Genomic DNA, 22,658 nt, shown 5'->3' with positions numbered 1-22,658 from the left:
AAGCATGCCTGTCAATTTTTAGGAAAATCATAGAAACCAGAGAGCAAAGGACAGAGTGATAGAAGATAAACTCTGACAGATAATAGGAGTGAGAGATCCAAGCACAACCTATAGGCCCATATAAAAACATTGGCTTTTACCCTGAATGGAATTGGAGGTGTTTGAGCAGAGTGGCATAATTTACGTATGGTTTAACAGAACAACTCTAGCTATTGTATGGAGATTAGCTGGAAAAGAGACAAAGGAGAGATGCAAAGAAACCATTTAGGAGGCTTCTACAGTAATTTACTCAAGAGATAAAAGTGGTAGTAGGGTGGTAGTTGGAGGGATGGTAGGAAGTGGCATGATCTAGGACGTCCTGATGGGATGGCTATGGAGCATGAAAGGAAGACACTCCTTTCCAAAGGAAAGGACACTTAATTCCAAAATTCTGGTTTGAGCAAAAGGAAGGATGGAGTTACCGATTACTGTGATGGTTAATACTTGGAGATAATTGGGTTTGGGGAAATACGAAGAGCTCGAATTTGGACCTAACGTTTGAACCGCCTATTATTATGTTGAAATATATAAAATGAGAAATATTCAACTATTCTGACCTATAAAAATGAAAACTACATGTGTTTCAAATTAACAGATATTCAGGAGAAAACACTGACAATGCAATTGTTTGTTCATAGGGGAGGTACAGGAGGGACACACATATCTGAGAGTCACCAATATACAGATGGTGTTTAACATAAAAGAGTGAAAGTTGACAGGAAAAAAAAGGCCAAGAACTGGCTCCTGGGATATTCCAACCTTCAGAATGAGGGGAAAAAATAAGAAGATGCCAAAGACAGACTGGGAGAGTGAAAGATCTTGGATGCCAGGGGGGTAAATGTTTAAAGGAGAGAGTGATTGCAAGATGAGGACTGAGAATTAACCATTGGATGTAATAATATAGGGGTCATTAGTGACCTTAGTAAGAGGGTTTATAGATGACTGGCACAGACAGGAGTCTGATTAGAATGGGCTCAAGAGAGCATGGGAGGAAGGAAATTGGGGAATGTAAGTATTGTTGACTAACTCAAGAGTTTGGGTATATAAGGAGAAAGTTGGTGCAGAAACTGGAGGAGTTTAAGTCAAGTCAAGAGTTTTTGTTTAACACAGAAGAGGTTTCCTCTCAAATTATATATTGAAGATACTGATTCAGTAGTTAAAATTTGATGAGATAGCTAAAATTTGATGATCCAGGACAGAGACAGAATTACTCAAGTAATGTTCTTGAGAAGGCAAGATGAGATTAAATCAACTGCACAAGTGGAGGGGGTGGCCTTTGCTAGGACCATGAACAATTTATCTAAGGGAACAGGAAAGAAGAGAGAATATGTAGTCCCGATGCAACTATATGGGCCGATGTGATTATGGGAATTTTGAAAAATATCTTCAGATTGCTTCTATTGTCTCAGTGAAAAGAAAGTAAGGTGATCATTTAAAAGTGAAAATAAGAGATTAGGTATTGGAGGCTTGAGAAGAAAAGAGAAAGCAAGCAATATTCATCTGGAAGAGTGAGAGAATGAATGGACTAGAGCAATATAGTAAGATCACTTGGCAGCATTAGGAACCCACTGGAGGTTGGTGATCATGATTATAAAGTGAGACTATTCAAAGAGATTGAGTGTTTTTCTCCAGACACATTCAGCCATACAAGTAAGGGCACTGAGTAGGCAGATAGATTTAACCAGCAAAGCAGTAGACAGGAAAGAAAGTTGAAGATATAAATATGACAATGATTATCAAGGCTGTCCGTGGAATTTAAGTTCCCAGTAAAGAGGGAAGTGAGAACCTGATGATATCAGTTTCCATTAAAAGATGGTAGGATAAAAGGATTTTTCCAGAGAGAATGAAAAATGGATAGATTTGGATATTTTTTAAAACTGAATTAGAAAGTTAGAAGGTGGTGCTGTGAGAATAAAATGTTGAAATTGTGATTATAAAGGGATTACAACTTGGGGTAACAACAAAGTCAAGGGTATGAGTCAGTGAGGTAGGAGGCAGAACAAAATTGTGAACTAAGAGGCTAGGACTTCAGGGGGAAAAATCTATGAAAACATTAAAATTACCACAAATTACATCAGAAGTAGATCGGCTGGGAATAATAGTGAATCAGGTGCTAATGTCTTCAAAAACTGTGGGAGAATGACAGAGATATTTGCTACACATATATCTGATGAATAACTGGTATACAATATTGTGAACCTGAGTTTTTTAAAAGTAAAAAAATAGAAGATAGGAGCATTTCAAATAAGAAGATACAAGAATAGTAAATAAGCATATGAAAAAATGATTCACTTTAGCCATAAAAAAGGATGAGTTCATGTCCTTTGTAGGGACATGGATGAAGCTGGAAACCATCATTTTCAGCAAACTATCGCAAGAAAGAAAAACCAAACACCACATGTTCTCACTCATAGGTGGGAATTGAACAATGAGAACACTTGGACACAGAAAGGGGAACATCACACACCGGAGCTCGTCAAGGGCTGGGAGGAGAGGGGAGGGATAGCATTAGGAGATATACCTAATGTAAATGACGAGTTAATAGGTGAAGCACACCAACATGGCGCATGTATACATATGTAACAAACCTGCACGTTGTGCACATGTACCCTAGAACTTAAAGTATAATTTAAAAAAAGGAAAAATGGTTCACTTTATTGGTAATCAGAAATGCAAAATGAAATAGCATTTTACTACAATAGCTTGAAAAAGATTTAAGAATGTGGCAATAAGAAATGCTTGCAAAGATTTAGTGAAATGGAAACATACTCTGCTCACGTGAATGTAAGCAGGGAAAGCCATTTTGAAAAAAGAATGGGGAAAGGGGTATTACCTGTTAATTTGAAAGGCATACACAGTACCAATTAGTGATCTACTCCTACTTTCCTCATAAAAGTGTCAGGAAAGAGTCTTTGATTTAAAGCCAGCTATATCTGTGCATTTGATTCCCACATCCAACACAACCTGGGTATTTGATTTTGAAAAATTTGCTTTACCAGGGAAGTGAGGATGGTTAATGCATACAAAAAAAAAACACAAAGAATGAATAAGACCTACTATTTGATAACTTAAAGAGTGTAACTGGTGTGTTTGTAACTCAAAGGATAAATGCTTGAGGAGATGGATACCCCATTTTCTATAATGTGCTTATTCACACTGCATTTCTGTATCAAAACATCTTATGTACCCTATAAATATATACCTCTACTATATACCCACACAAATTTTTTTAATTATTTTTTTAAGAAAAATTTGCTTTACCACTGAGCCTCAGGTGTTGTGAAGAATGAAGAAGATCGTTTTTAAAATACTCAGGACTGGCAGGGCATGGTGGCTCACGCCTGTAATCCCAGCACTTTGGGAGGCCGAGGCGGGTGGATCACCTGAGGTCAGGAGTTCGAAACCAGCCTGGCCAACAAGGTGAAACCCCCTCTCTATTAAAAATACAAAAATTAGACGGGCATGGTGGTAAGTCCCTGTAATCCCAGCTACTTGGGAGGCTGAGGCAGGAAAATCACTTGAACCCGGGAGGCGGAGGTTGCAGTGAGCTGAGATCGCGCCATTGCACTCCAGCCTGGGGGACAAGAGCAAGACTTTGTCTCAAAAAAAAAAAAAAAAAAAACTCAGGGCTGGGCACGGTGTAACCGCAGCACCCAGCACTTTAGGAGGCCGAGGCAGGCGGATCACTTGAGGTCAGGAGTTTGACACTACACTGGCCAACATGATGAAACCTCGTCTCTACTAAAAATACAAAAATTAGCCAGGCGTGGTGGCAAGTGCCTGTACTGCCAGCTACTCGGGAGGCTGAGGCAGGATAATGGCTTGAACCCGGGAGGCGGAAGTTGCAGTGAGCCAAGATCGTGCCACTTAACTCAAACCTAGGCGACAGAGTGAGACTCCGTCTCAAAAAAAAAAGCTCAGGTCAGATGCAGTGACTCACACCTGTAATCCCAGCACTTTGAGAGGCCGATGAGGGAGGATCGCTTGAGCCCAAGAGTTCAAGACCAGCCTAGGCAACATGGCAAAACCCTGCCTCTACTAAAAATACAAAAAAAAATAGCCAGTATGGTGGCACAGGCCTGTAGTCCCAGCTACTCCGGAGGCTGAGGTGGGAGGATCACCAGAGCCTGGGAGGCCAAGACTGCAGTGAGCTGAGATTGCACCACTGCACTCCAGCCTGGGAGACAGAGTCAGACTCTGTCAAAAAAAAAAAAAAAATTCAAGAATCATGGAAATATAAGTGTTCAATTTAAAAATTAATTTTATACGGCCAGGCGCGGTAGCTCACGCCTGTAATCCCAGCACTTTGGGAGGCTGAGGCGGGCAGATCACGCGGTCAGGAGATCGAGACCATCCTGGCTAACACGGTGAAACCCCGTCTCTACTAAAAATACAAAAAAAATTAGCCGGGCGCGGTGGTGGGCGCCTGTAGTCCCAGCTATTCGGGAGGCTGAGGCAGGAGAATGGCGTGAACTCAGGAGGTGGAGCTTGCAGTGAGCCGAGATCGCGCCACTGCACTCCAGCCTGGGCGACAGAGCGAGACTCTGTCTCAAAAAAAAAAAAAAAAAGAAAAAAAAATAATTTTATTAATATTGTTTTAAATTTTAATATGATTAATAATTTTATAACTTTTTAACTTTCAGGATGAAACTATTCACAAATGTTTCACTTTTTTTTTTTTTTTTTTTAGACAGGGTCTCACTCTGTTGCCCAGGCTGGAGTGCAGTGGCACCACCACGGTTCACTCCAGCTTTGACCTCCCGGGCTCCATCGATCTTGCCATCTCAGCCTCCCAAATAGCTGGGACCACAGGTACGCACCACCACGCCAGGCTAATTTTTGAATTTTTAAATTTTTCATAGGGACCGAGTCTCACCATGTTGCCCAGAGTGGTCTTGAACTCCTGGGCTCAAGCGATCAGCCTTCCTCAGCCTCCCAAAGTGCTGGGATTACAAGCGTGAGCCACCACTCCCAGCTTCACTCAGAATTTTAAAATCAATTTTCCCAAGTAGAAATCTGTATTTTCTGAATACTCCTAAAATGAAATAATTTAGTAGCATTAAAGGAATTGTATGTAGCATTTGGATGGGTCGGAGAGATCTGAGTGGTCTTTTCTCTAGAATCCCTGAAATCACAAGAAAACATGAGTTCTAAAGGCGAGCCATCTTTGAAATTCTATTACAGTTGTTATCATTTTTTCTGAATAAGTTATACTGATCATTCTGCCCCCTAGAGGCCTGTAAGAGTATTTCCCCAGCGTGTCCGACCAATTATAGCCACGGATACTGGACAGCACGGATACCTCCGCCTCTAGAGCGGGTCCTCCAGGGGGCGGAGCATTGCGTGACATTTTGCGACTTCGGTTCCGCTGCCGTCATTTACAACATAATTGGCTTTGCAGTGCGCATCCGGGTCTGCATCAGGAAGGCCCAAGGGTCCAACGAGCTAAGCTGAGCCCGGTGGCCGGCGAGGCACCACCAGCAGCCCAGACTACGGTCCCCCAGGAGGCGCCCCGGGAGCTCCGAGGACTCGCCCCGCGTCGCGCGGTCCTGCGCCCCGCTCGTCCCAACCAGCCTCCCCTACCACCGACATCTGTTACTTCAAAGAGGACTTCACCGCCGCGCTCCCCACGTCCGCTGCTAGGCCCAGGAGCGCCGTCCACAGCGCCGTCGAGGCGATGGTCAGCCGGCCCCGCAGCCCCAGCGCCTTCCCTGCTCCCTGGTGGGGACAGCAGCCAGGAGGACCCGGCCCTGCCAAGCGCCTCCGATTGGAGGAGCCCGCGGGCCCCGAACCCCGCGCGGCACCCAGCCTGGAAGACCCGGCGGGGGACCCGGCCGTGGACGCGCTCACCTCCATAGTGGTCCTGGCCGCGGGCTGTGCCCTGCGTGTGCCCCTGGACGACGTCGACCTGGTGCTGGAGCCCGCACCAACGTCGATCCTGCGAGTGTCTCTCGGTGGACACACCCTCATCCTGATCCCAGAGGTCCTCCTGAGCTCCGTCGACGAACGCTCAGGAGCGCAGCACGACTCGTCTGCCGGGCTGGAAGTGGACGTTTTCCTGGGCGCTGTCAGGGAGGACGTCGTCGTCGAGCTGGAATTCTGCGCATCTGTCCCAGAGATCGCCGCCCAGGAAGAGGCCTACGAGGAGGACGCGGACCCCGAGTTCCCGGAGCTCCGGATGGACTCCCCAACCGGCTCAGCCGCTGGGCTCTACCCCTCCTCTAGAAGTATGTTCATCCCCTACCGGGAGGGCCCCATCCCAGAACCCTGTGCTCTGGCCCCCAACCCCAGTTCAGAGAGACGTTCTCCACGCCCCATCTTTGACCTGGAATTCCGCCTTCTGGAGCCTGTCCCCAGCTCACCTCTCCAACCTCTACCTCCCTCTCCGTGCGTGGGGAGTCCAGGTCCCCACGCGCGCTCGCCGCTCCCGGAACGCCCTCCGTGCAAGGCCCGGAGACGCCTGTTCCAGGCATAGACCCCCACCCCCACGTACACACAACAATCCTGGCCGCTCTGCTGGAGGCCCTCTAGGATTGCGGGAATCTCTCACATTGAGTATCCAACAACCTGGAAATTGGGCACCGCGTGTTCGGACAATTGCTTTTTCGCTGCACACTACCGATAGTAGGAGATGAAGACGTCAGCAAGAAAAGGTATATTCTAGACCTCATCTTTAAATAGAAAATCTGCGCAAGGATACCAGAAAATGTGTCCAGATTTCTGGGCTTCTTTACAAGGTCATATTCAGATCCCTTCATTCTCCCTCGTTTTGCATCAGTTGTTTCTCTCAAATTCCAGTCTTTCTCCAGCATCATACTGCCACTCCCGTTTCTCCCCAAACCAAGAAATCACCAGATCTCTTACGTTGTTAGTTACCTTGCATTTTTTTCCCATGAATTTTGGAAGACTTAGCCATGGCTTTTCTTGGGGTTTTTCCAACTGCTCTCCAAGGAAACTGCCAAATAGTATGCTTACTATACAAGACTGTATGTTGCTTCTTCCTAGGAACCCCTTATCCTGCTGAAGTTTTCTTCTAGTCTTCTAATTCTAAATGAAAATTTGTGTTGAATTTTATCAGATGTTTTCAGCATGCATTGTGTTATGTATTTTTTTTTAATTTGTTAATCTGGTGATTTCACCCAATGGAAAGTGTTTGCATTCCTGCTATTCCACATTATTTTATACCTTTTAAAATCTACCCTGAGTTTTTTCTCATGTAAACCAAACTTCTAACTTTTAAAATGTTAGTTTATTACTGTAGTTGCCTCATATTTTTATATAGGAGATAAAAGATTACTGGTAAAGCTGATGTCAACAAGCTGGTTTTATTTTATTTAAAAACATCAATAACTATTCAGATCTACCACTATGCCTTACCAATTATTTCCTACATTTTTATTCTTACATTCCACTCCTTCACTGTAGCTTCAGTTTTCTTTTTGTGAAGAATATCCTTTAATATTTCTTTCCACTGTGTCTTACGTGTGATAAACTATCTTGCTTCTGTAAGTCTGAGCATGTTTTTGTGTGATAAACTTTCTTAGAATTGACTGTAAATGTTTTAATTACACCTTCATTCTTAATTTTAAAATGATATTTAACTACAGTACTTTAAAGATATTAGCCCGTTGTTTTGCCATTTTTTGTTGTTGCAGGATGTCTTCTGTCAATCAAGTTGTTAGTCCTTTTATATGTAATTTGGCTGTTCGTGTGTGTGTGTGTGTGTGTGTGTGTGTGCGTGTGTGTGTAGAGAGAGAAAGACTTTAAGACAGGGTTCACTCTGTCGCCCAAGCTGGAGTGCAGTGGTGCAATCACGGCTCACTGAAGCTTCAACATCCCAGGCTCAAGTGTATTTTTTGTAGGAACGGGGTTTCACCATGTTGCCCACGCTAGTCTGGATCTCCTGGGCTCAAGTGATCCACCCACTTTGACCTCCCAAAGTGCTGGGATTACAGGTGTGATCCACCACATCTGGCCAATTTTAGTATATTTTTTAAAATGTTGATTTGCCTTTGGTGTTCTACAGTTTACTGTAATGTGTCTAGGGGTAGACTATATTTTCATTTAGCTTGATAGAATTTAGTTAACTATCAATATTGGAAACTATTTCTTGCCTGAAATACCACAAAATCTTAAGTTTCATCTCTTGGAATATTGCCTATATCCCCATGAAATCCAATCAGATGGGAGGCTGAGGTGGGTGGATCACCCGAGGTCAGGAGTTCAAGACCAGCCTGGCCAACATGGAGAAACCCCGTCTCTACCAAAAATACAAAAATTAGCTGGGCGTGGTGGCACACACCTGTAATCCCAGCTACTTAGGAGGCTGAGGCGGGAGAATCGCTTGAACTCAGGAGGCGAAGGTTGCAGTTAGCTGAGATTGTGCCACTGTACTCCAGCCTGGGCAACAGAACAGGACTCTGTCCAAAAAAAAAGAAAAAAAGAAAGAAAGAAAGAAAAGAAGAAATCCAATCAGATATATAATGGCACTGCTCAATCAATCTCCCCTGGCTCATAACATCTTGATATCTTAATATACATGTATGTTTGTGAGTGTATGTACACCTTATCAAATCGAACTTCCTGTATTTTTTTTTTTTTTTGAGATGAAGTCTCGCTTTGTCACCCAGGCTGGAGTACAGTGGCCCGATCTTGGCTCGCTGCAACCTCTGCCTCCTGAGTTCAAACGATTCTCCTGCCTCAGCCTTCCAAGAAGCTGGGATTACAGATGCTTGCCATCACACCCAGCTATTTTTTGTATTTTTGGTAGAGATGGGGTTTCACCATGTTGGCCAGGCTGGTCTTGAACTCCTGACCTCAAGTGATCCACCCACCTCGGCCTCCAAAAGTGAGCCACCACGCCCGGCCCCAACTTCCTTTATTCTTTAATCCAATTAACTACTCTGGTTGACTGCTTACAATATTCTGTTTGTTTTGTTTTGTTTTTTGTTATTCTGTTTATAGTTCTATAAGAAAGTTTTCATTTCAAAGAATTTTTTTTTCAGGATTTCTCAAGATTTTTGCTTCAAAACTTCCCACTTGGTATCACAAACTTCTAGTTTGTTCATGGAAGGTATTCCATCATTTATGTTTTGAAAATTTTTTAACTTTAATAGCTAAATTGATTCAATTTCCCCACAGGTAAAATCTCTCATTATTTGTTTTTAATCACATTAGATTGCCTCGTGCTTAGTAATTTTCATTAGTGGGCACACTGTGGGTGGGAATTCATCTTCTGAATCCCATATTTATAATTTTTATAGTTTCCACTTCCTAGTCTTCCCAGGACCACCATTCAGAATTGGGGCTTTGGAACTCTTGTAACTTGTCTTTCTGGAAAGTCACAGGTGTAATCAATTACACAGACGCTCATTCCAAGTTTCAGTTTGTCTTTCCTTGATCAACTACAGGCACAACCATGCAACAGTGGTTAGTGCCTCTTCAACCTTTGAACATTGGCAGTGAGCCAAATTTTAGCCCCCTCAAAGGAGCAGAAATCCCAGTTGCCATTATATAGTTTAGTCCCAGTACCATGAGTCATCAAAATATCAGCTACTCAGTCAGAGATTGGGTTTTCTACTCCATTTCTGATCCCTGGAAGCTTGTATCTTTCTTTTGAAAGTAGGTATCTGTAGGTAATACGGTTTAATATTTCCTAGCAATGCTCTCTGCCTTCAGTAGATGGAATTCCCCTGTACTACCATCTTGCCCACAATTGCCACCACAACTCAATTATCTCTCTGTCCTCCCCCTATAACAAAGCAGTTAATCAGTCACAAGACCCAACCTAATTATCTGGTCATTCTGAAGAGAAACGGTTAGCCCTGTTTCCAAAACTGTGTCTTCTATTGCAAGAGACTGATACCCTGCACTAGAAGTAACAAAGGACATCCATCTTCAGCAATATGCAAACTAAACAGTCCCAAAAATCCTCTAAACAACACTCGTGAAAGTGATGGAGAAAATTATTTTAATATTTTTAAAGTCAAAGCACAGCTTACAAAATGTAAGAGAAATTCTCCAAAGCCAAAAATGATGACAAATCACGAATCCAGAGAGGTAGAATCCAGTGAGTGCTAAAGGAAAAGTTTCCTTGAGAGTACCTAACAATCCATGGTTACCTAGAGTTTTGGTTTTAATGGCCCATTTATGGGGAAAAGAAAAATGCAGTGGTCGCCGGGCACGGTGGCTCACGCCTGTAATCCCAGCACTTTGGGAGGCCGAGGTGGGCAGATCACGAGGTCAGGAGATCGAGACCATCCTGGCTAACGCGGTGAAACCCCGTCTCTACTAAAAATACAAGAAATTAGCCGGGCGAGGTAGCGGGCGCCTGTAGTCCCAGCTACTCGGGAGGCTGAGGCAGGAGAATGGCGTGAACCCGGGAGGCGGAGCTTGCAGTGAGCCGAGATCGCGCCACTGCACTCCAGCCTGGGCGACAGAGCGAGACTCCGACTCAAAAAAAAAAAAAGAAAAGAAAAGAAAAAGAAAAAGAAAAAAGAAAATCCAGTGGGCAGCCCTGAAAAAAGTCCCAGCTCTGCATTTATCAGTCTTGGCTCCAAGTAGAATAAAACACAATCTGCTTTAGGAGGAAAAGCTGAGAGTTTAGTTTAAGATGTTCCCTAATAGACGGTGAGCCTGGCAAAAATTAAACTAACTCTCTCCTCACATTCTCTGAAAAGAATATACCCTATACCCAGGGTTAAAAATCTTCTTGGAGATATCCTAAAGGGATTCTAAGCTCATAATCCAAAATCAAAGAACACAAATGGAGAAAGGTAGGAGGTAGTAATGCCATGTATTGAGAATTTTATTATTTCAATCTGGGATATGGGAGATGAACAGATTCCCACCATGAACAAGTGTAAAAGGCATGAGTACATTAATCTTTATGATCCTATGGCAGATACAGGTGGCAAGGCTTTCAGTGCCCAAGAGAGGAAAAAACAAGGATATTTCTAAGAACATACATAGTTCTGGGCATAGTATAGTGCCCTCATTAAGGAAGCATAACAACTTTCAAAAATGATAAATAAAAATAAAAACACATTTAAGATTATTGTAAAGTCTACAAAACACCAAAGTCAAAGAGATTTTTTAATACGCAAAAAGAGAAGGCCACTACAATGACAAGGCAATTAGACAACTGGCTTCTCAGCAGCAAAAAATGAATCCAGAAGACAGTGGAATAATAGCAGCAACGTATTGGTGGGAAACAACTGTTTTGACTTGGAATTTTTCAATTAATAATGCCATCTTTTTAAAATAAGCAAAAAAACAATTATTTCACCTATATGTGAAATTCTAAAAAGTCAAACTCATAGAGGTAGAGAGTATAATGCGCTTTACCAGAGGTGGGAGGGGTGTGGGGGGAATGGGGACATGTTGGTCAGAGGGTACAAAGTTTCAGTCAGACAGGAGGAAAAAGTTTTTGAGATCTATCTTACAGCATGATGACTAGAGTAAACAATTACATATTATATACTTCAAAATTCCTAAAAGAGACTTTAAATGTTCTCACCAAAAAAAAAAAAAAAGGGTATGTGGATGATGGGTATGTTGATTAGCTTGATTTAATCATTCCACAATCTATACACTTATGAAAACACCGCATTTTACCCCATAATTATTACAATTGTTATTTTTCAATTAAGAACTTAAAATTGTGTGTGTGTGTACACATTTAGTTTTATTGTAACAACGCAACTTGTACACTTTTAATGTTTAAAACTGAGCATCATCTTTCCTTTCCAGTGAAACAAAAAGAAAATTTAAAAATAAATAGGAACAAAATTACAATAGAGAATGTCAATTCCAAATAAGATCCTACAGGTTCTGCTGATTCTCCTGTTGAGTGGAAGGGCTCAAGTCATCATTAGGAGATAATTTATTTTAAAAGTGTCATCTTAAACTGCAAGGATGTCTGTCAAATACCACAAGGCATTTAATAATCAAACTCCCAAAGATCAAGGGTAAAGAAAGAATCCCGGCCAGGTGCAGTGGCTCATATGTGTAATCTCAGCATTTTGGGAGACCGAGGCAGGAGGATCACTTGAGCCCAGCAGTTCAAGGCTGCAGCGAGCCATGAGCCATGATTGTGCCACTACACTCCAGCCTAAGTGACAAAGCAAGACCCCGTCTAAAAAATATATGTGTATGTGTGTGTGTCTGGGTGTGTGTATGTGTGTATGTGTGTGTGTCCTAAAAGCAGGAAGAGAAAAGAAACAAATAACATATAATGTAGCTCCAGCAGCAGACTTTTCAGTGGAAATCTTAAAGGCTGAGAGAGAGTGGCATGACAAATTTAAAGTACTGAATGAAAAAAAAAACTTACCCTAGAATAGTATATCTGGTGAAAATATCTTTCAACCATGAAGGAGAAAGACTTTCCTAGAAAAAACAAAGCTGGCTAGGTGTGGTGGCTCACGCCTGTAATCCCAGCACTTTGGGAGGCCAAGGCAGGCGGATCACTTGAGGTTAGGAGTTTGAGACCAGCCTGTCCAACATGTCTCTACTAAAAATACAAAAATTAGCTGGGTGTGGTGGTGGGCACCTGTAATCCCAGCTACTCGGGAGGCTGAGTCAGGAGAATCACTTGAACCCGGGAGGCAGAGGCTGCAGTGAGCTGAGACTGTGCCACTGCACTCCAGCCTGAGCAACAGAGTGAGACTCCATCTCAAAAAAAAAAAAAAGAAAAGAAAAGAAAAACCAAAGCTGTGAAATTTCATCCACACCAGGCCTGTCCTACAAGAAATGCTAAAGGGAGTTCTTCAATCTGGGAAAAAAAAAAAAAAAAAAAAAAAAAAAAAAAAAAAAAAGAACATCAATGAACAGTAAGAAATTATCTGGTAATTTCTTTTTTTTTTTTTTTTTGAGACAGAGTCTCACTCCATTGCCCAGGCTGGAGTGCAGTGGCACCATCTCTGCTCACTGCAAGCTCTGCCTCCCAGGTTCAAGCCATTCTCCTGCCTCAACCTCCCAAATAGCTGGGACTACAGGCGCGTGCCACCATGCCCGGCTAATTTTTTGTATTTTTAGTAGAGATGGGGTTTCACCGTGTTAGCCAGGATGGTCTCGACCTCCTGACCTCGTGATCTGTCCACCTCGGCCTCCCAAAGTGCTGGGATTACAGGCGTAAGCCACCACGCCCAGCCCATGGTAATTTCTTATACAAAACTCAATAGTAAGTGCACAGAATATTATAACACTGTAATTGTGGTGTGTAAACTATTCTTAAGTAGAAAGAATAAATGATGAATCCATCAAAAATAAAAATTATAACAACTTTTCAAGACATCAACAAAGAGATAAAATAAAAAGAAAGTGGAGGGACAATGTTAATGTAAAGTTTTTATGAGTTTTTTTTTTTTGCTTGTTAGTTTGCTTGTTGTCTGTGAAATGAGTGTTAAGTTGTCATCCATTTAAAATAACAGATTATCAGATAGTATTTGCAAGTCTCAGGGTAACCTCAAATCGAAAAACGTACAACAAATAAACAAAAAATAAAAACAAGAAATTAAATCATACCACCAGAGAAAATCATCTTCGCTAAAAGGAAAACAGAAGGAAGGAAAGAAGGACGAGAAGACCACAAAACAACCAGAAACCAAATAACAAAATGGCAGGAGTAAGTCATTACTAATTAATAATAACCTGAATGTAAATGGACTAAACATTCCAATGAAATGACACAGAGTGGCTGAATGGATATAAAACAAAATAAAAGAAGACTCAATAATCTGTTGCCTACAAGAAACACACTTCACCTATAAAGATACACATAGACTAAAAATGAAGGAATGGAAAAAGATATTCCATGCCAATGGAAACCAAAGAAAGAGCAGGAGTAGCTATATTTATATCAGACAAAATATATTTCAAGACAAAAATTGTAAGAAGAGATAAAGAAAGTCACTATATAATGATAAAGGGGTCAATTCAGCAAAAGGATATGACAATTTTAAATATATATGCACTCAACAATGGGGTACCCAGATACATAAAGCAAATATTATTAGAGCTAAAGACACAGAGAAACCTCAATACAATAATAGCTGGAGATTTCAACCCCCCACTTTCAGCATAGGACAGATCTTCCAGTCAGAAAATCATCAAAGAAACATCGGGCTTAATCTCCACTATAGAATACATGGATCTAATAGATATTTACAGAGCATTTCATCCAAGGGCTACAGAATACATATTCCTCTCCTCAACATGTGGATCATTCTCAAGGATAAACTGTATGTTAGGTCACAAAACAAGTCTAAACACATTCCATAAAAGTTGAAATAATACCAAGCATCTTCTCTGACCACATGGAATAAAACTAGAAATCAATAACAAGAATAATTTTGGAAACTATACAAACATGTGGAAATTAAACAACATGCTCCTCAATGACTAGTAGGTCAATGAAAAAAGAAGGAGATTGAAAATTTTCTTCGAACAAATTATAATGGAAACACAACATACAAAAACCTATGGGATACAGCAAAAGCAGTGCTAAGAGGGAAATTCATAGCTATATGTGCATACATCAAAAAAGAACAACTTCAAATAATTAACCTAACAGTACATCTTTTTTTTTTTTTGAGACATAATTTTGCTCTTGTTGCCCAGGCTGGAGTGCAATGGCACGGTCTCAGCTCACTGCAACATCTGCCTCCCAGGTTCAAGTGATTCTCCTGTCTCAGCCTCCCAAATAGCAGGATTACAGGCACATGCCACCAGGCCCAGCTAATTTTTGTATTTTTAGTAGAGACACGGTTTCACCATGTTGGCCAGGCTGGTCTCAAACTCCTGACCTCAGGTGATCCACCCACCCCAGCCTCCCAAAGTGCTAGGATTACAGGCACGAGCCACTGCGACCAGCAAGTGCATCCTAAAGAACTACAAAAGCAAGAGCAAACCAAACTGAAAATTAGTAGAAGAAAGGAAATAAAAATCAGAACACAACTAAATGACATTGAAATGAAAAAAAAAATACAAAAGATCAACAAAATGAAAAGCTGGCTTTTAAAAAAGATAAAAGAAATTAATAAACCTTTAGCCAGACTAACTAAGAATGAGAAGAACCAGCTGGCACAGTGGCTCACACCTGTAATCCCAGCACTTTGGGAGGCCAAGATGGATGGATCACGAGGTCAGGAGATCGAGACCATCCTGGCTAGCACGGTGAAACCCCATCTCTACTAAAAATACAAGAAATTAGCCGGGCATGGTGGCACACGCCTGTAGTCCCAGCAGTACCCAGGAGGCTGAAGCAGGAGAATCACTTGAACCCAGGAGGCGGAGGTTGCAATGAGCCGAGATCGTGCCACTGCACTCCAGCCTGGGTGACAGAGTGAGACTCCATCTCAAAAAAAGAAAAAGAGAAGAACCAAATAAATAAAATCAAAGATGAAAAAGGAGACATTACAACTGATACTGCAGAAATTCAAAGGACCATTAGTGAGGCTATCATGAGCAACTATAGACCAATAAATTGGAAAATCCAGAGGAAATTATAAATTCCTAGGTACATACAACCTACTAAGATGAAACCATGAAGAAATCCAAAACCTGAACAGACCAATAACAAGTAATGACAGGGAAGCCATCATAAACAGTCTCCCAGTAAAAAAAAAAAAAAAAAAAAGTCTGAGAGCCAATGGCTTCACAGCTGAATTTTACCAAACATTTAAGGAATAACTAATACCAGTCACACTCAAACTATTCCAAAGAATACAGAAGGAGAGAATACTGCCAAATGCATTCTATGAGGCCAGTATTAACCTGATACCAAAGCCAAAGACACTTCAAAAAAAGAAAACTACAGGCCAATATCTCTGATGAATATTGATGCAAAAAATCCTCAACAAAATACTAGCAAACCAAATTCAACATTATATTTAAAAGATCATTCATCATGATCGACTAGGATTTATCCCAGGGATGCAAGGATGGTTCAACATATGCAAATCAATCAATGTGATACATCATACTAACAGAATGAAAGATAAAAACCATATCATTTCAATTCATGCTATAAAAGCATATAATAAAAGTCAACATTCCTTTATGATTAAAAACTTCTCAAAAACTGGGTATAGAAGGAACACACTTCAACACAATAAAAGCCATATGTGACAGACCCACAGCTAGTATCATACTGAATGGGGAAAAACTGAAAGCCTTTTCTCTAAGAGCTGAAACAAGACGAGGATGCCCACATTCACCACTGTTACTCAACATAATACTGGAAGTCCTAGCTAGAGCAATCAGACAACAGAAAGAAATAACAGGCATCCACATTGGAAAAGAAAAAGTCAAATTATCCTTGTTTGCAGATTATATGATCTTATGTTTGGAAAAACCTAAAGACCCCACACAAAAACTATTACTACTGATAAACAAATTCAGTAAAGTTGCAGGATATAAAATCAACATACAAAAATCAGTAGCATTTCTAAATGCCAACAATGAACAATCTGAAGAAAAAATCAAAAAAGTAATCCCATTTACAATAGCCACAAATAAAATTAAATACTTAGGAATTAACTGAACCAAAGAAGTGAAGCATCTCTACAATGAAAACTATAAAACATTGATGAAAGAAATTGAAGAGGACACAAAAGAGTGGAAAAATACTCCATGTTTATGAATTGGAAGACTCAATATTGTTAAAAATGTCCATACTACCCAAAGCAATCTACAGATTCAATTCAATGCCTATCAAAATGCCAATGGCATTCTTCACAGAAATTTTTTTTAAAATCCTAAAATTTTTATGAAACCACAAAAGACCCAGAAAGCCAACGCTAACCTGAGCAAAAAGAATAAAACTGGAAGAATCACATTACCTGATTTCAAATTATACTACAAAGCTATGGCAACCAAAACAGCATGTATTGGCATAAAAACAGACACATAGACCAATGGAACAGAATAGAGAACCCAGAAACAAATCCATACATCTACAGTGAACTCATTTTCAACAAAGCTGCTAAGAACATACACGGGGGCGAGGAGCAGTGGCTCACACCTGTAATCCCAGCCCTTTTGGAGGCCGAGGTGAGCAAATCACTTGAGGTCAGGAGTTTAAGACCAGCCTGGCCAACATGGTGAAACCCCATTTCTACTAAAAATACAAAAATTAGCCAGGCATGGCTATAATCCCACACGCCTATAATCTCAACTACTCAGGAGGCTGAGGCATGAGAATCACTTGAACCCAGGACCCAGAGGTTGCAGTGAGCCAAGATCACACCACTGCACCACTGCACTCCAGGCTGAGCAAAAGAGCGAGACTGCATCTCAAAAAAAAAAAAAGAAAAAAAGAAAAAACACAACAGATGAAATAGAACAGCAGAAAAATATGGCAAACACATTATATCTCTTTTTTAATAATAATTTTTTAAATTGTTCAAGTAATCTGCCTACCTTGACCACCCAAAATGCTAGGATTGCAGGTGTGAGCCACCACCCCTGGCCAACACATTCTATCTCTACTCAGTGCTGCTAATGACAAGATCTAATTCCTTTTTATGGCTGAATAGTACTCCATTGTGTATATGTACCACACTTTCTCTATCCGTTCCTCTGTTGACGGATACTTAGGTTGCTTCCAAATCTTGGCTATTGTGAATAATACTCCAACAAACATGGGAGAGCAGATATCTCTTCAATATCCTGATTTTCAATTGATGGAGCTGGGAAAACTGGATATCCATATGCGTAAGACTGAAACTAGACCCCATCTCTCACCATATACAAAAATCAATAAAAATGAATTAAATATTTAAATTTAAGACCTCAAAATATGGCCGGGTGCAGTGGCTCATGCTTGTAATCCCAGCAGAGGATTTGGGAGGCCAAGGCGGGTGGATCACCTGAGGTCAGGAGTTCGAGGTCAGCCTGGCCAACATGGTGAAACCCCATCTCTACTAAAAATACAAAAAAAAATTAGCCAGGCATGGTGGCTGACACCTGTAATCCCAGCTACTAAGGAGGCAGAGGCAGGAGAATCGCTTGAACCCCTGAGGCGGAGGTTGCAGTGAGCCGAGATCGCGCCATTGCACTCCAGCCTGGGCAACAAGGGCAAAACTCTGTCAAAAAAAAAAAAAAACCCTCAAAATATAAAACTACTATAACAAAACATTGGGGAAACTCTCCAGGACTTTGATCTGGGTAAAGATTTCTTGAGTAATAATCCACAAGCACAGGTAACTAAAGCAAAAGTGGACAAATGGGATCACATCAAGTTAAAAAGCTTCTACACAGCAAAGGAAACATCAACAAACAGAAGAGAATGAAAGAAATTATCTGCAAACTACTCATCTGACAAGGGATTCATAGCCAGAATACATAAGAAGCTCAAACAACTCTAAAGGAAAAAAAATCTAATAATCCAATATAAAAATGGGCAAAATAACTGAATAAATATTTCTCAAAAGAAGACATACAAATAGCAAGCAGCTATGTGAAAAGGTGCTCAACATCACTGATCATCAGACAAATGCAAATCAAAACTACAGTGAGATATCTTACCCCAGTTAAAATGGCTTTTATCCAAAAGACAGGAAATAACAAATGCTGGCAAGGATTTGGAGTAAAGGGAACCCTCGTACACTGTTGGTGGGAATGTAAACTCGTAAAAACCACTACGGAGAACAGTTTGGAGGTTCTGCAAAAATCTAAAAATAGAGCTACCATATGATCCAGCAATCTCACTGCCACGTACATAATCAAAAGAAAGAAAAGCAGAATATTGAAGACATATCTGTGCTCCCATGTTTATTGGAGTTTTATTCACAATAGCCAAGATTTGGAAGCAACCAAACTATCCATCAACAGATGAATGGATAAAGAAAATGTGGTACATATACACAATGGAGTACTATTCAGCCATAAAAAAGAATGAGATCCTGTCATTAGCAACAACATGGATGGAACTGGAGGTCATTATGTTAAGTGGAATAAGTCAGGCACAAAAAAACAAACTTCTCGTGTTCTCACTTATTTATGGCAGCTAAAAATTAAAACAATTGAACATATGGAGAGAGTAGAAGGATGGTTACCAGAAGCTGGGAAGGGTAGTGAGGGTGGGGGCAAATAGAAATGGTTAATAGGTACAAAAAAATAGAAAAAATGAATTAAAATCTAGTATCCGATAGCAGAACCGGGTGACTATAGTCAATAATAATTTAATTGTACAATTTAAAATAACTAAAAGAGTATAATTGGATTGTTTGTAACACAAAGGATAAATGCTTGAGAGGATGGATACCCCATTTACCATGATGTGATTACTACGTATTGCAGGCCTGTATCAAAGTATCTCATATAACCCATAAATATATATACCTACTATGTACCCACAAAAATTAAAGTTTACTTATCAAAGCAAAATTTTCATTTCTACTTTCTATCAGAAATGAAAGAACTTTTTAGAACCACGTAGGAAGGGTGGGGAAAGAGCAGTGAGTATGAGTTAAAGCTCTTTTTCATATATTCCTGGAAAATCTTAGAAGAGACATTGAGACGTAAGCTACTTATAAAAGTAAGCAAGCAGTTTTTGAAATTGTGTTTTGGCTTTTCTTTTCTTAACCAAGATAAAAGCAATTACCGCCATTGGGTCCCACGAGCACATCCAAGGAACCTTCCCCTACAGACACAAAGACACCCCTCCACCTCCCCACCTCCCCACCTCCGCACCTCGCTCTTGTTCTAATTGATCCAATCATCTCTAGGCCACGCCTACCGCAGAGCACTGTCGGGAGGCGGGGCCTATATTGACACATCCTGGTGCGCCGAGGTCACCTGACGTCCCACGTTATTAGTCATCGGACGTGCATCCGGGTCTGCGCCAGGAAGGCCCAAGATTCCATCGCGCGAGGCTCTCTCAGCAGCACGGACTGCGGTCTCCGGGAGGCGCCCCTGGAGCTCCCAGGACTCTCCCCGCGCCGCGCGGTCCTTCGCCCCTTCCGCCCCAACCCGCCTCGCCTAGCACCGACACCTGTTACCTCAAAAAGGACTTCGCTGCCCGCGCTCCCTACGTCCTCTGCTAGGCCCAAGAGCGCCGTCGAGGCTATGGGCAGCCGGCCCCGCAGCCCCAGCGCCTTCCCTGCGCCCTGGTGGGGACAGCAGCCAGGAGGACCCGGCCCTGCCAAGCGCCTCCGATTGGAGGAGCCCGCGGGCCCCGAACCCCGCGTGGCGCCCAGCCTGGAAGACCCGGCGGGTACCCCGGCCGTGGGCGCGCTCACCTCCATAGTGGTCCTGGCCGCGGGCTGTGCCCTGCGTGTGCCCCTGGACGACGTCGACCTGGTGCTGGAGCTCCCGCCAACGTCGATCCTGCGAGTGTCTCTCGATGGACACACCCTCATCCTGATCCCAGAGGTCCTCCTGAGCTCTGTCGACGAACGCTCAGGAGCGCAGGACGACTCGTCTGCTGGGCTGGAAGTGGACGTTTTCCTGGGCGCTCTCAGGGAGGACGTCGTCGTTGAGCAGGAAGTCTTCTGCGCATCTGTCCCAGAGATCGCCGCCCAGGAAGAGGCCTACGAGGAGGACGCGGACCCCGAGTTTCCGGAGCTCCAGATGGACTCCGCAGCCGGCTCAGCCGCTGGGCTCTACTCCTCCGCCAGAAGTATGTTCAGCCCCTACCGGGAGGGCCCCATCCCAGAACCCTGTGCTCTGGCCCCCAACCCCAGTTCAGAGGGACACTCTCCAGGCCCCTTCTTCGACCCGGAATTCCGCCTTCTGGAGCCTGTCCCCAGCTCACCTCTCCAACCTCTACCTCCCTCTCCGCGCGTGGGGAGTCCAGGTCCCCACGCGCACCCGCCGCTCCCGAAACGCCCTCCGTGCAAGGCCCGCAGACGACTGTTCCAGGAATGAACTGCTTCCCACAATCCCTTGCCACCGGCTGCGGGTTCTTGTGGATCCTCCAAGACTCACTGTGAGGACTTGCCACAGCCCGGAAATGCAGCATCTTCATTCATCGACAGCGGGCAGTTGGATTACTGTTGTTTGGGTGGGTTGGTTGGTTGGCTGGCTGGCTGGTTGGTTTTTTGGCAGAATTCCTTGGTAAGTGGCAGGCAAGGACATGAAAAAAGAAAAGCAGATTCTGGTAAGCACCTTTACCAAGAAGAGTAGACCACACATAACCAGTCATGGATTTTCAGATCCCTTGCCTTTGCTGCAGGAGCTGTTACTTCTGCCTTTGTCACCTTCAGCCAACTGTATCCTCAGTTTCACCCCTACTCTTGCTTAAAGCTCCCTTCAGTTTTCTTTAAAATTCCCCCCTTTTTTTTTATCACTTCCATACACCTATCCGTTCTCTCCAATCCAGATCATTGTCTTTCCTTCTTTTTGCAGTTAGGAATTTACCTATACGATTTCTCCCAACATCCTCTGAGGTGCTTCTGACCACTGATTTTATTTTCCACTTGCTCTCCTTAACTCCTTTTCCTGGACCTGGACAATCAAGATAAATGCATATTAGATTAGATAGTAAACAAACAACATTCAAATGTAATGAATGCACTGGACCTTTTGGAAGTGTTTCTGCAAATAAGAATTTAAGGGCCGGGCGCGATGGCTCACGCCTGTAATCCCAGCACTTTGGGAGGCCGAGGCGTGTGGATCACCTGCAGTCAGGAGTTCGAGACTAGCCTGGCCAACATGGCGAAACTCCGTCTCTACTAAAAATACGAAAATTAGCCGGGCATGGTGGCGTGTGCCTGTAATCCCAGCTACTAGCAGGGATGAGGCAGGAGGAGTGCTTGAACCTGAGAGGCAGAGGTTGCAATGAGCCGAGATCGTGCCATTGCACTCCAGCCTGGGCAACAGAGTGAGACTCCATCTCAAAAAAAAAAAAAAGAAAACGAAAAAACAATTTAAAAATTAGTGAAAGCAATATTTAATGAGGGAAAGTAGGAAGTTGTGACACTTTCATTCCAGCAGCATCTTGTACAATGACATATTCTATGTACTTTAACCAATGGGTATTCCTGAATTTCAGGGCAGTGTGGGCTTCATCTTGATTTCCTCTCAGGGGTACTCACTCACCTTCACCGCATGGACATTTGGTCTAATTTATTTTTGAGAGTTTTTTTCATGCTCTTGAGTCCATCACCCTGAATTGGCAGTCGTTATTTCTTAGTATTATTTCCTTAATGTCTTTTTAACTATAAAGGAAAGGAAATATTACAGATAATGTTGTCATATCCTTTGATCCCCACTCTTCTCCCCCATTCCCAGGGGATTCACATCATGACACAAAGTTGATGGATATCATTCTAGTCAATATATGAAAGCTACATATACATATATATATGTATAGATATAAATAAGCAATGTTTATGTTGTTTTCTGGACAATTAAATTTACATAACTACCTCATATTCTCCAGTTTTTTTCTCAACTTTATTTTCGAGATGACATAAATATGTGTAGTAAATTTCTTCTAAAGATTCCAGTATCCATCATATGATTGTGATATTTGTTCTTTATTTATTTCTTTATTTGTTTATTTATTGGAGACAGGGTCTCATTCTGTCACCCTGGATGGAGTGCAGTGGCACAATGAGTGGGCTCAAGAGATCCTTTGCCTCAGCCTCCCAAGTAACTGGGACTACAGGTGC

General features: G+C 42.2%; 2 protein-coding genes across 2 annotated transcripts; both read left to right on the top strand.

Annotated features, from left to right (window-relative positions):
* The first annotated feature begins 5,451 nt into the window (after window positions 1-5,451).
* PRR23B (proline rich 23B) lies at window positions 5,452-7,347 on the top strand. Its single transcript, NM_001013650.2, has one exon. It carries the CDS (start codon window positions 5,717-5,719, stop codon window positions 6,512-6,514), a length of 798 nt encoding a protein of 265 aa, NP_001013672.1. The 5' UTR covers window positions 5,452-5,716; the 3' UTR covers window positions 6,515-7,347.
* Window positions 7,348-20,109: 12,762 nt separating this feature from the next.
* Window positions 20,110-22,416, top strand: PRR23A (proline rich 23A). The gene has a single exon (NM_001134659.1). The coding sequence runs from the start codon at window positions 20,110-20,112 to the stop codon at window positions 20,908-20,910; it is 801 nt and encodes a 266-aa protein (NP_001128131.1). The 3' UTR covers window positions 20,911-22,416.
* The last annotated feature ends 242 nt before the right edge of the window (window positions 22,417-22,658 follow it).

This window comes from Homo sapiens, chromosome 3 (assembly GCF_000001405.40).
Source record: "Homo sapiens chromosome 3, GRCh38.p14 Primary Assembly".
NCBI lineage: Eukaryota > Metazoa > Chordata > Mammalia > Primates > Hominidae > Homo > Homo sapiens.
This window is presented reverse-complemented; position numbering and strand designations above follow the sequence as displayed.